Genomic DNA, 13,740 nt, shown 5'->3' with positions numbered 1-13,740 from the left:
TGAGGGAGGAGAATTGCTTGAACCCGGGAGGCGGAGGTTGTAGTGCGCCAAAATTGTGCCCTTGCATTCCAGCCTAGGCAAGAGAGTGAGACTCCGTCTCAAAAAAAAAAAAAAGGTGATTTAATAAAAACAGATGAAGCCCTTTCATGATCACGTGCTATGAATTAAAAAAAAAAAAAAAACCCATACCAGTGTCGGTGGAACTATAATTAGTGCTAATATACCTTCATGGTATTATTTCTTATTAACTATTGAATGAGAATCGTTGCCCTATACCTTGCAATATTTTTTCATTAAAACTTTCCTCTTAACTCTTTCTGTGATAGGATGTCAAGGCCCACATCATGAGGCCTCCTTATTTGTGGGCTGCTGTGACCTTTGAGGCCCAAGCAGAGGCCCCATGGCCTCTGCTTGGGCTCTGCTGACGTTTCAAGGAGCACATCATTGGGGATCTGTCTGTGGGCGCCAGGCCTTGACCTCTCAGAGTAGACTAGTAGAGGTTTCTGGCCCAGTGTCGTTTACCTGTCCCATCTCCTGATGTCTGTGGTGGTTTCTGCCATGAAGTGAAAGACTTGTCCATGAGGCTTTTGCTATGTGAGAGGCAGAGTTTAATTTTAATTCCCAGTCTTCCCATCCCAGTGTAAACTTTTAGGATGTGCATTTGTGTTCAGTAGATGCTGAGCGCCGGGCTCTTGGTGATTTGTTGTGTTGTCTAAGTGAATTTGGGGTACTTGAATGTCTGAATGTATGTAGGTAGAAATTCCAGCATCAGTGTCCTTGCCTGCCACTGTACTCAGTCTCCCCTCCCCCTCATTACAGTGGAGTGTCCTTTTCCTCTGCACCTCACATGGAGGCTGCAGCCACATACTCTTCTGTTTGCTTATATTTTCTCTCTTGTGTTTACCTCAAACTTATATAGTTGAATAGTTTTGTTTGTAATGAAATTATTTTAAATAAGATGTTAGCATTTAAATTCAATCTCTTGACCGGGCACAGTGGCTCACACCTGTAGTCCCAGCACTTTGGGAGGCCAAGGCAGGCGGATCACTTGAGGCCAGGAGTTCAAGACCAGCCTGGCCAATATGGTGAGACCCCCGTCTCTACTAAAAATACAAAAAAAATGAGCCAGGCATGGTGGCTTGCACCTGTAATCCCAGCTCAGGAGGCTGAGGCAGGAGAATCGCTTGAGCCCTGGAGGCGGAGGCTGCAGTGAGCCGAGATCGCACCAGCCTGGGTGACAGACTGAGACACTGTCTCGAGGGAAAAAAAAAAAAATCAGTCTCTTATAGCCCTTGTTCTTTTTTTTTTCTCTCCTTCTCTCTTAGACTGTTTGTCTGTGGGATATAAACGCAGGACCAAAAGAAGGCAAAATTGTGGATGCTAAAGCCATCTTTACTGGCCACTCAGCTGTTGTAGAGGATGTGGCCTGGCACCTGCTGCACGAGTCATTGTTTGGATCTGTTGCTGATGATCAGAAACTTATGATGTAAGGTGGAAAATTCAGTGGGATCTTGTTAAATGGGTGACCTGAATGACCATCAGTGATTGCTGCAGGCTGTAGTTTGATTTTTTTTTTTTAAGTTATGGCTTTAAAAAACAGCTTTAGGTAGCTTACTCCTGTAATCTCAATACCTTGGGAAGCTGAGGCAGGAGGATTGCTTGAGACCAGGAGTGTGAGACTCTACACAAAATTTAAAAACAAAAAATTAGTTGGGTATGGTGGTGTGCACCTGTAGTCCTAGCTACTCAGGAGGCTGAAGTGGGAGGATCACTTATTATTTAGAAAAAAAGAAAACTAGGTATGGACATGTGAAGGAACATACTTGGTGTGGTGGTAAATATCAAAATTGAGATCCAGAGTGATGCCAGTTGGAGGTCGAGGAGGAAAATGATTTCATCAAGGTGTGGCCACAGGGCTTCATTCACTTATAATCTTATAAAGAAATACCTGAGGCAAATGTGACAAAATACTGGGCATTTGTCAAAACTAGTTTTAGGTATCAGATTGTGACATTATTCTCTACATAGTCTGTATTTTGTGTACACTTGAAATAGTTGGTAATTAAAATAGGAATCTAATTTAAAAAACAGGACTAACAGCCCTAGCTTGTTCTCTGTAGGTTTCGAATGTATCATTTAGTGGTCGAGGTCTGAATCACCAGCTGTGTGGTTGGTTTCTTCATGAAGGGGAGCACATAGTGGAGCTAGTTGTGGAGTGCAGTGACAGTGATGTGAGGCCGAATGTGAGTGTGTCATCCCTGGGTGCCGTGTGCCTTTACCTTTGTGTTTTAGATGGGACACCAGGTCCAATACCACCTCCAAGCCGAGTCACTTGGTGGATGCGCACACTGCCGAAGTCAACTGCCTCTCATTCAATCCCTACAGCGAATTTATTCTAGCCACCGGCTCTGCGGATAAGGTTTCGAAGTTTTTGCATTATTTGGTGTTTATAAAACCCAGTTCTCTTGTGCCTTAATCAGATATTTGAAAATTCTTAGGTAAAGCATAGAAATCATTTTCACTTGTTATTTTTCTTTAGACCGTAGCTTTATGGGATCTGCGTAACTTAAAATTAAAACTCCATACCTTCGAATCTCATAAAGATGAAATTTTCCAGGTATGTGACAGTTTTCTGGTGTCTGTATGTCAGGAAATGAAATCCAGGGATTCATCAGTTAAGCTATACCAGACTCGTGGGTCCACTATTGAAAAAAATGTCTTGTACGTGGTGTTACATGGAGATGCTCATAGGGTAAGGTACACCTTGTTGAAGAATTAAAAAGCTTCTGGGATGGTTATGGGGTCGAATAAATTTATTGAGATCCCAGGCTGAGTTCCTCAGTGCTGGGGAGTGCAGCCTTCCTGAGGACAGGATGGAGCTGAGCCCTTGCAGAGCACTTGAAAGTCGGGGACAAGAGAGTGAGGCCATCAGGCCAAGGATAAGATAATAGAGTGCAAGATGGGAAAATATCAGATTAGAACAACAGCCACAAACCTAGCAGCGGATGATTCTTTAAATACATTTTCAAAATTATCTATTACTAGGTCCACTGGTCTCCACATAATGAAACTATTCTGGCTTCAAGTGGTACTGACCGCCGCCTGAATGTGTGGGATTTAAGGTAACTTACAGTCCTGTGACAAGATACTGCATAAATGTGCCTATCTGGCAAGTTACATAGTCATTCATAAACTAGAAAAGCAATTTGGTAATCCCCCCTTCAAGAAACCTAATATTAAAGAAACTTCTAAGCATCTTCCTAAAGAGCCTTTGTTCTGTAAAATAGAAGTGAAGCAGCAAATGGACCATAAAATAAATTTCTCTAGTGTGAGTTTTGTCTCTTAATATTCAGGCATGAAGGTGTATGTGTCTGTTTTTGTTTTTGCATTCAAATGACTGTATTTAAAACACACTTGATATAGAGAAATCAAGATGTTAGCTGTTTTATGTCTCATTGGATCTCAGTACGTGTAGGCAGGACTGTTTTTTCTGGGTTTTTGTACCATTTACTTTGCTTTCAGTGATTCATTCTGCAGATGTGCACTCCTGCTGTGGGTTGTGTAACTGCTGGGGAGACCTTTGTGAAGGGGACAAGGACAGCCCAAGCTGTCAGAGAGCTTATGTTCTCTGGGGCCTCATTGTATAAAGAGTTTCTGCCAATTTTTAAAGTTCCTTTAGTTCAGACTTGCTGTTCTAAGAATTTTAGACTCCTTTACTTGTTCATCTGAGCCTTTAGAACTTAATAAAGTTGCTCAGTTACATACTCCTCCGTAAGATGTCATCTTAAGTTTAAATCATAAAATTACCAAAAAATAACTTATTTCCTGCTTGTATTAAATATATTGCTTTGAAGTGGACTGAATTTAGTACAGGTTGAATATCCCTTATCCAAAATACTTGGAATAAGAAGTGTTTGGGGTTTTGGAATTTTTAGGATTTTGGAATATTTGCATTATACTTTATTGGTTGAGCATCTCAAATCTGAACTGAAAGTCCAAATTCTTCTTCTTTTTCTTTTCTTTTCTTTTCTTTTTTTTTTTTTGGAGACTGAATCTTGCTCTGTCACGCAGGCTGGAGTGCAGTGGCGCAATCTTGGCTCACTGTAACCTCTGCCTCCCAGGTTCAAGCAGTTCTCATGCCTCAGCTTCCCGAGGAGGTGGGTCTACAGGTCTACAAGCACTGCCACAGCCACCATGCCCGGTTTTGTATTTTTTACTAAAAAAATAAATAAATAAAGGCAGAGCTTTGCCATATTGGCCAGGCTGGTCTCAGACTCCTGACCCCACGTGATTCTCCCGCCTTGGCCTCCCAAAGTGCTGGGATTACAGGCATGAGCCATTGCACTCGGTGTGAAAGTCCAAATTCTGAGTGTCACGTGGTGCTTAAAGTTTTGGATTTTGGAACATTTTGGATTTGGGATGCTCAACCTATATATTAAAACCAAGGCTGCCTTAATTATAGAGGCAGTAATCCTCAGTATATAGAAGAGACGCTGGAGAATAAAATGCTTGTATGTAAAACTTAAAATAGCTAATGTTCAGGGTTCTGATGGAGCAAACTCTTGCCGTGATAAATACTTGAAGATGTAGAAAACCTTTAAAGCAGACAGTTGGGGGCATTGTATTTGATTTAAAAACAATTTTAGTAGTAAAATAAAACCTAAATCAAAACTATAAAGAGGTTGTATGAAGCGTACAGCAAGGTTTGGAAGTCTGATGCCCTGGCAACTGAATTGCCCCTGAAGGTGCCAATAATTTGTGAGCATTGTGTGTAATTTCTTCTTAGAATTATTTCTTAGCTTGTTTAATATTAAAATTACATTAGATAGGGGGCCAGGCATGGCGGCTCATGTCTATAATCCCAGTACTTTGTGAGGCTGAAGCAGGAGGATCGCTTGAACCCAGGAGTTCGAGACCAACCTGGGCAACATAGACCCTGTCTCTACAAAAAATTGTAAAATTACATTAGATAAAATTTGGGATTAAAATGGTGAGTTTTAGCAACTATACTGACAGGTGGAAGATAAGTATTGTCTAGCAATCCCACAGGTTTGAGATTGTTTGGTTAGTTTTGTGGGAAGGAAAAAAATGTCTCACTTGGAGGGCTGGGTTTTGTTTTTTAGTAGTTGTTACTACTAAAGTCTTTGGGCTAGGTATAAGGACAGGGCTGATATTGATACATAAAGAGTGATTTCACTGTTGAGCACTGGCAAATTCTACAAATTGAAGTTTTTAAGAGAAAAACCATAAAAACATTTCCTTGGCTTACACATTTCTCAAAGTTTTATTGCCATATCTTTAGACAGATCTATAGTACTGATTTGTAATTATATTTTACTCCTGGGATGCAACAGGCTTTGAGTGAAGTATAGGGATTGCACATCAGTTTATGTGTAGATTTTTTTAACTATACATTTCACCTTTTAATTCTAAGGCAATAAACAGTTAATGAAGGGATTTTGAGTTAATGTTTATTATTGACAATAATTCCTCATTCTGCAACTTCAATTATGAACAACTCTAACTTATTTCCAGAAAGTAAACATCCCGTCCTTACACCAAATATAAACAGTAGCCAGATGTGGTGAGGCTGAGGCGAGAGGATCGCTTTTGAGCCCAGGAGTTCAAGGCTGTAGTGCACAGTGATCGTGCCTGTGAATGAATAGCTACTGACTGCAGCCTGGGAAACATAGCGAGGCCATGTCTCTAAGGAAAAAAAAAACCTAATTGATTGTAGTATAGAAATAAGTTGTTTTTGTGAGTGTGTTTATGTTTTAAGATTACTTTCTGGGCTGATACTGGTTTAGCAGATGTTCGTGCTACAAGAATTTCACTGATGAAAGCGTTATATTCTTTATTCTTACAGTAAAATTGGGGAAGAACAATCAGCAGAAGATGCAGAAGATGGGCCTCCAGAACTCCTGGTACGCATTGGCTTATAGAAGATGAAATGTCATATGCAGATTGGATTGTCATTGATCTCTTTATTTCGAGAATGGGTCAGAACTTCGAATTCTAGCTCTTGCAGATGGTTTCAAAATGGAGGCCCTGAAGGTTATTGCAACTGGGCTTTGACATTTATCAAAAATAGTAAATGGAGCCCAGTAGGTTTTTATGAATGTTTCACTGAGAATGGTTTGAGGTCCTGGAAAATAGTATATAGTAATTTCTCACTGATTTCAACTCTGGTATTTGTGATGGTTTGGGGATGGGGAGTGAGTATAATTGCTATTCAGTTGGCAGTACTTAACATTTCCTAACAGTATAGAAAAAATTTTAAATGCTTTTTAAGTTTCCTGCCCAGAAAAGGAGTGCTTTCTCAATCTTGATGTTAGCAGAGCCCACTATCTCCCTCCCATGCCTGATTGAAGCATCACGCATCTCCTTGGCCCTTTGAAAGCTTATGTGGTGGTATCTGCCCATCCTCATTCTTCCCGTCTGAGTCCTTCAGTGCTCACTTCGTCATTTTTCTATGAAGCATTGCCGGATTTAGCAATGGTTCCCTGTCCTTGCTCTGAATCCAACATTTGTCTCCTCCCATTATTTGGCCGATAGTCACTCATCACTCTGTCATTTACGATTTTAGTTCTAATGCCAGTACTCATTTTTGGCACACTTGTACTTTGTCCATGAGTTTTATTTATTCATTTTTTCTGTGAACCTATGGAGTATATTGAATGTCCACAAGTTTTCAAAGGTAAAGAAGGTCCTTGAGAGCAAGCCCTGCACACAGAAGATGTTCACTAAGCCCACCTTGTAAGAATGCTCCAGACCCTTTTATTTTGATGACGGCTTTACTGAGATATAATTTACATACCACACAGTTCACTTCTTTAAAGTGTACAGTTCAGTGGGGAGGGAGTGTTCTTGGGTTTTGGGGGTTTTTTTTCTTTTTTTGTTCTTGAAGTCAGTGGTTTTTAGTATATTCATAGACTTGTAAAACTATCACCACAAATCAATTCTAGAACATTATTCATCCCCTCCAAAAGAAACTATAGCTATCACCTCCCAATTCTCTTCTTCCTCCAGCCCTTGGCAACTACTGTGCTACTTTCTGGCACTATAAGATTGGGCTATTCTAGATATTTCATATAAATATGACTTTTGTCTTTTGGGACTGATTCTTTCACATAGTACAATGTTTTCAAGGTCTCCAGCTATTTTTTTTAGGGAGAAAGGAAAGCGTATTACTTTGTATATTATGCCTCTGCAACAATTCCAAGGTCCTTGAGAAAATACACTAGGATTTTGCTTTTTACAAGAGAGCTTGAAATCAAGGGACATTTGAGAGTAGTAAACTGGGCCTGGGCATGGTGGCTCCTGCCTGGAATCCCAGCACTTTGGGAGGCCAAGGCAGGTGGATCACGTGAGCCCACAAGTTCAAGACCAGGCTGGGAAACATGGCAAAACCCTGTCCTGTCTCTACCAAAAAAAAAAAAAAATACATAAATTAGCCAGGTGTGGTGGCGCGTGCCTGTAGTCCCAGCTACTTGGGAGACTGAGGTAGGAGAATCACCTGAGCCCGGGAAGTTGAGGCTGCAGTGAGCCATGATCACACCACTGCACTCCAGCCTGGGCAATGGGAGTGAGACCCTGTCCCAAAAACAAAGTAGTAAACTATTCCACCAGTATGCTTTGATAACTCCTGTATGTTTTCTAAGCCCCAGTGATCTTAAAATATATTCACCTGTGTACCCCTTAAGAGTACTCTCTCTGTCGCCCAGGCTGGAGTGCAGTGGTGCAATCTCAGCTCACTGCAACCTCTGCCTCCCGGGTTCAAGTGATTCTCCTGCCTCAGCCTCCCGAGTAGCTGGGACTACAGGTGCGCAACACCATGTCCAGCTAATTTTTGTATTTTTAGTAGAGACAGGGTTTCACCATGTTGGCCAGGATGGTCTTGATCTCTTGACCTCGTGATCCGCCCGCCTCAGCCTCCCAAAGTGGTGGGATTACAGGCGTGAGCCACCACACCCGGCCAGTATATTCACTTGTGTACCCCTTAAGAGTACTTTAAAAAGCTATTTACCTCTTTTTTTTTTAAGTCAAGGTCTGGTTCTGTCACCCAGGCTGGAGTGCAGTGGCGCAGTCTTAGTTCACTGCAACCTCCACCTCCCAGGTTCAAGCTGTCTTCCCATCTCAGCCTCCTGAGTAGCTGGGACTATGGGCACACCCCACCACGCCCGGCTAATTTTCGTATTTTTTGTAGAGACGGGGTTTTGTCATGTTGCCCAGGCTGGTCTTGAACTCCTGAGCTCGAGCCATCCGCCTGCTTTGGCCTCCCAAAGTGCTGGGATTACAGGCGTGAGTTTTACCCAGCCCCACCTCATATTTTTAACCCGATAAGATTATTCGGTAAAATAGATACATTGCATAATACCTAGTTGGCAGGCAGAGACCTCATTGTCAAACTAGAGTCAAATCAGACTTTGTCAGAAAGTGTGATGTCCCAGTTCCAAACAGTGTATTTAGTACTGTCCTTGTGAAGAAGTGTTTCGTTTAAATCTTAATTCTAAGATAAAAAAATAAGGCATAGTGCATTCCGACGAGGTTGTCTCTTGCGGGGAACAACTGCTCTCTTCAGAATTGTTTAGCAAAGCTCTCACCTTAGGCATAGCTTATGAGGGACTATCTGGAGCTATGCTTTTGGAGCCAGGGATTTTCTTTCACCCTGGTGCTGTCTGTGTACGTTGGAAAGATGGGCAAGAAGTATGCCTCTCTCAGTAAAGTGGAGAGGGGAAGAACCAGAAGACTCCTCAGGCCCCTTGTATAATAGAAGAGTATGTTACATGGCATATAACGGATTGATTACCTTAGATGTTTGCACCTAACTGTATATGAGCAAATGATGCTGGATTAATGTTCATCATAATCAGTATGGAAATGGCATTTTGACTAGGAAAATGTCCTCATTCTTAAGGGATGCAGGCTGAAGTCTTCAGCCATTTCATTGTATAGGCTCATGGATAAAGCATCAGTTATGCTAGTATCACTTGGTGAATCTAGGTAAAGGGTATACAGGTATCCATTGTACTATATTCTGTCACCTATTCTGGAGGTTTGGAAATTTGCAAAATAAGTATAAATAGATTACTGAGCCTGTACCACCTTCTAAAACCAGACAGCACCCACCCCCAGTTGAAATACTGATAGCTCTAAAAACTTAGTAAAACCTTTGTTAGGATTAACAGGAGAGTATATGAAATCAAAGCTTTTTTTGTTCTTGTAACAGTTTATTCATGGAGGACACACTGCTAAGATTTCAGATTTTAGCTGGAACCCCAATGAGCCTTGGGTCATTTGCTCAGTGTCTGAGGATAACATCATGCAGATATGGCAAATGGTGAGTTAAAATGTTTTTCTTGAATGACTGTCTTGTAAAGGAGAGATTTACTACTTACATAATGTAATAAAGTTATTTCGAATATGTAGGTGCATATTATGCCAAACATTTACAGAAACCGTTTAAAAGAACTTTTTCCATTTCAACAATACAATCTTTAGTCCCATATGGTGCTTCGTCCACTGTTTGCTATTTGTAGCACCTGTCAGGTCAGGAGAAATCTCTGCATCTGCACTGATTTTCATTGTTGTTGTGCTCTTCATACACTGGAGTCTTGGCGTCGCTACTCTGTCTCCAGTGTCTGTTCTGTGTGGTAGGCATGAGGGATACAGGAAGGAGAGGTCAAGGCATTCAAATGACAGCAAGTTCTCTGAGGATGAGCACTAAGTAGCTGACATTTCTAAGTTGTTGTTAACCGAGACTTCCATAACATCTGGGCTACCACTTCCTCTAAACGATGCTTGAAGTGCCTTTGGAAAACATCTCTTATGAACAGTGATTGAAATAAGTAGTGCATCGATGGGTGGCTAAGTATACATACGGAATTACACACTGGCAAAGAATTTTTCAAAATACTGGCTAGCCTACCATTTCCTTATTGAAGTTTTTAAGAGAGAAATGTAAAAATGAAACTATTAAGTTCTAAATAGATTAAATTGTTTTTACATGACCATGTGAAAACCATAGGGAGTTTTTACCTGTGAATTTATTTGGTTATCTCCAGGCTGAAAATATTTACAATGATGAAGAGTCAGATGTCACGACATCCGAACTGGAGGGACAAGGATCTTAAACCCAAAGTACGAGAAATGTTTCTGTTGAATGTAATGCTACATGAATGCTTGATTTATCAAGCGCCAAAAAGGCATTGTATAGTAGGAAATGTAAGTGGGGTGGCTTATGGCTTCTTTATCCTCTGATTCTAGCACTTTCAAGTGAGCTGTTGCGTACTGTATCATATTGTAGCTATTAGGGAAGAGAAGAATGTTGCTTAAGAAAGAACATCACCATTGATTTTAAATACAAGTAGCAGGGTATTGCCTTTGATTCAACTGTTTTAAGTCCTCATTTTCTCAAACTAAGTGCTTGCTGTTCCCAAATATGCAAGAATAACTTTTACACTTTTTCCTTCCAACACTTCTTGATTGGCTTTGCAGAAATAAAGTTTTAAAATAAAACTTGTGTTTTTTTAAAAGCTTAGTGGGGGGGGGCGGGGGAGTCTACTTTTTGAGTAGAAATGGGTAAAATGGTACCTTTGGACTCCTACAGTTAAGGTCACATGGATAATGAAAGAATACACAGAAGCTGTTAAGTTTATCATACATATTTACTTAATCTATACAGAATCAAGTAGATAAAATCAGATTCACATTAGTGAAAAATCTCTACAAAATGTCTTTGAAAAGCAAAACGAGACTGCCTCTTAACAATTCGTATCCTCATGAAAGACGTGGGCTGTAAAAATAAAGCAGTGTGTTTAGCACAAACTAGAAGATATCTGCATCATTTTTTTCACAGTTATTTCCATCTACAGTCTGAAAGAGGTAGATTTTTCTGCAACACCTGAGAATTGAATTGTGATAACCAGGTGTAATAAAGGCAGTTGCATACATAACTGAAAAATACTGGTCTCAAGACCAAGAAATGTACTCCTAACAAGTCTGAGGATGAAATGGTCCATATTACCCAAGACCCAAGTTTTCTCTACACCTTGGAGTCCACCGCCAATATAAATAATACACATCACGATTCCATGATGGTGCAACAATTGCAATTTAAGTGAATTCAACATTTAAACCTTTTCTGGGCCAGCCTAGTAGCATTACAGTGTTCTAGAATATGGTAGATACGGGGTGCGCTACAAAGCCACAACACTGGGCTGGTGAGGTGATCACTGTAGGAAGATGTCCTTCTCAGGGGGTCCCATTTGTTTTTATTCACAGGGTAATGGGAGGAAGGGTTCTGAAAGGACAACAAATGCATCCCAGACAGAATCCATATCCTTTCAACACTATAATAGCATCTAGCTAAAAATACAAAGTAAGCCAAAAGCAGCAGGCCAAGTACTGTTAATCACATTGCTTTAAAGCCCTTGGAAGTATGCAACAGGCCCAAGATTTACAATCTTCCACACAGGACAAGCACCACAAAGAAACGTGGTGGGCTACACAAATGGCTTAATAAAATGTTAAGAGCTGTACATCCAGCAGAGTTCTTGTGAAATAATGTGATCATTAGTACTAATTTTAAGGTGGATTATATTTCTGATCTATACCTGCATTCCCCCCCACCACCAGGGAAATGAGTCTAGTATTTTAGTAGCAGAACAGGGTGTACTCCTAAGAGGCTGTTGGAGGGTGGTGTTTTTTGCTTCTGACTCATTTTGATGGTAATTAGATAATCTACTTTGTGGATTTATTTTCCTCCACTGTGGCCCCTTGAATTAACATGACTGATAGTGGAGGCTTAGATACAACCCTCCTCCACTCCAGGCGGTTTCCTATCTATCTATCTGTTGGACAATTTTCAATTCTTTCAACCCAGTTTCGACCATGAATGTGACAGGACTTTACAAATAACACTTGTAACAAAGAGAAAACCCTTTTAACTGGACAAAACAGAGTTTATTCAGTCCAGTAAGCAATTTAACAAGTGTCAGTCTGATAGTTTTGCTCAGTGGAATGTGCTAACATCAGTTCTAGTAGAACCTTTTATTTCATAAAGCATTTCAATGCAAATTATACCAGGGACAAAGTCAAAACTTCCATCAGTGCAGCCTGATTAATCATCTGCATAACTGCGCCACATTCAACATTGAAACAAAGAACTAATTCAAAAGTTATGTGCTTAATTTCAAATTTTCCCCCAGTCCAAGTGTAGAGACCTTGATAATACTGTGGCTTTTCTTTTTTCTTCTTAAAAAAGAGATGGTAACTAAGAAGGGGGTGAGAAAACAGACTGAACACGTAAGTAACAGATCATGACTAACACTCTGCCAAGTCTTCCCAAAGTAAAAATGTTGGTGCCAGTGTTTGTTTTGGAAATGAAAATCAATTTCGGTTGGTACTGATCCATAATGAAAATTCCCTTTTGAAAAACCTGGAGTACTTTGCTGGTGGAATTTTTGTAGTAACTTTCAAGTAGCCAGAAGGTATTGGAGAAACTTCTGCCTAGTGAAAGTGACACGTGAATTGACCGTCCTTGTCTTTGACAAGGGACTTCATTGAACGGCAAACATGAACACCAGTTTTCAAAGAATAAGTGGCCTTCTATGGGAAGTGGAGAATATGTACTGAAATCCCAAATCAGAATCAAACACAAACCGCCATCCTCTACGGGAGCCCCTCATGGTCCAAATCCCACACCTGAAACCAAAGCAGGATGACTGTTCAGTCACGTAAACACTAAGCTTATTTGTCTAGTGATTTGCCTCTATGTACTATTTTGTCCACAAGTGACATCTTTATATACATATTCTGCCGAAACTTAGGATTCTAGGCATGTGGCCATCTCAATTTGTCCCGAGATATAAATGTTTTCAAAAAGCTAATTTCAATCAAATATGCTTCTGACCCAACACTAGGAGTTTTATTTTTACTTGGCATTTAAATGGGTTATTAGACAAAACTAATCGCCTTGGTATTTTGTTTTTCTGAATAATATTATGGGGGGGGGGGCTAAGACGTTTAAATTAATATTGTTTTCACATCAAGGAACCATCGTCAGAACAAAGTTCCCTTGTAATGGTCGGCCCTGTCAGTGAAATTTTCATTAGGATGATAATGTGCAAGGAGCAGGGAGAGAAAGGACAAGGCAATGAACACATGCATTCCAGTGGAGGGAGAACGAGGCTGATGTGCAACACAGCTGAGGAAAATTTATAGATTAAACTATTCAAAACTGCTAAGCAGCCTCCTGTACCACATAAGTCCAGTAGTTCTAAGAAAATACAGATATGGTAGAAAAAGTAAGAAAATTTTCACCACAAAACCAATAGTTAACTACTAACAGAGAAAGTTATACACAAAATATATCTCTCAATACAGTGATCACACCTCATCTTAGTCAACCGACTCGATGGCCGGAGCAGAGCCTGTGGACGGGGGCTTTTGCACAGCGCTTCTCTGACTCTTGGGCTCAGCCTCCAGGTGCGCTCCCAGGGCTCTTTTCGAGGAAGTGTTCAGCTCCTTGTGAGAATCCAGGGCAGTACAGGGCTGCATCACAGGTGTTGCTAAATCCCTGTTCGCCGCTTTGATGGCCGCTTTGATGGATACCTGCTCTTTCAGGACTTCCACCTTCTCATTGAGCTCATTCCTTTCTGTCTGAAGAGCCCTGCACAGCTTCTCTAACCGTTCCAGTTTTATTTGAAGGGCCTTGTACTCTTTATCACGGACTGTTTT

At 40.6% G+C, this 13,740-nt stretch overlaps 2 protein-coding genes across 8 annotated transcripts in view; one reads left to right on the top strand and one right to left on the bottom strand.

The window, feature by feature from the left end:
* The window catches only part of RBBP7 (RB binding protein 7, chromatin remodeling factor), a 26,022-nt gene extending 15,195 nt beyond the window's left edge, over positions 1-10,827 (top strand). For 2 of the 4 annotated variants that reach the window (NM_002893.4, NM_001198719.2), the window contains exons 6-12: positions 1,326-1,486; positions 2,293-2,419; positions 2,540-2,617; positions 3,046-3,122; positions 5,867-5,924; positions 9,230-9,340; positions 10,065-10,827. In NM_002893.4, the coding sequence (NP_002884.1) occupies positions 1,326-1,486; positions 2,293-2,419; positions 2,540-2,617; positions 3,046-3,122; positions 5,867-5,924; positions 9,230-9,340; positions 10,065-10,133 (681 nt within the window). In that variant the 3' untranslated portion in view covers positions 10,134-10,827. Of the gene's footprint in view, positions 1-1,325; positions 1,487-2,292; positions 2,420-2,539; positions 2,753-3,045; positions 3,123-5,866; positions 5,925-9,229; positions 9,341-10,064 lie in introns of all 4 variants that reach the window. The other 2 variants (XM_047442292.1, XM_047442291.1) reach the window with 1 other exon arrangement.
* TXLNG (taxilin gamma) overlaps positions 10,649-13,740 on the bottom strand; it is a 58,054-nt gene continuing 54,962 nt past the window's right edge. For all 4 annotated transcript variants that reach the window (NM_018360.3, NM_001168683.2, XM_024452400.2 and 1 more), the window contains one exon: positions 10,649-13,740. In NM_018360.3, coding sequence (NP_060830.2) covers positions 13,402-13,740 — 339 coding nt within the window. In that variant the 3' untranslated portion in view covers positions 10,649-13,401.

The sequence above is a fragment of the Homo sapiens genome, chromosome X, assembly GCF_000001405.40.
Source record: "Homo sapiens chromosome X, GRCh38.p14 Primary Assembly".
NCBI lineage: Eukaryota > Metazoa > Chordata > Mammalia > Primates > Hominidae > Homo > Homo sapiens.
This window is presented reverse-complemented; position numbering and strand designations above follow the sequence as displayed.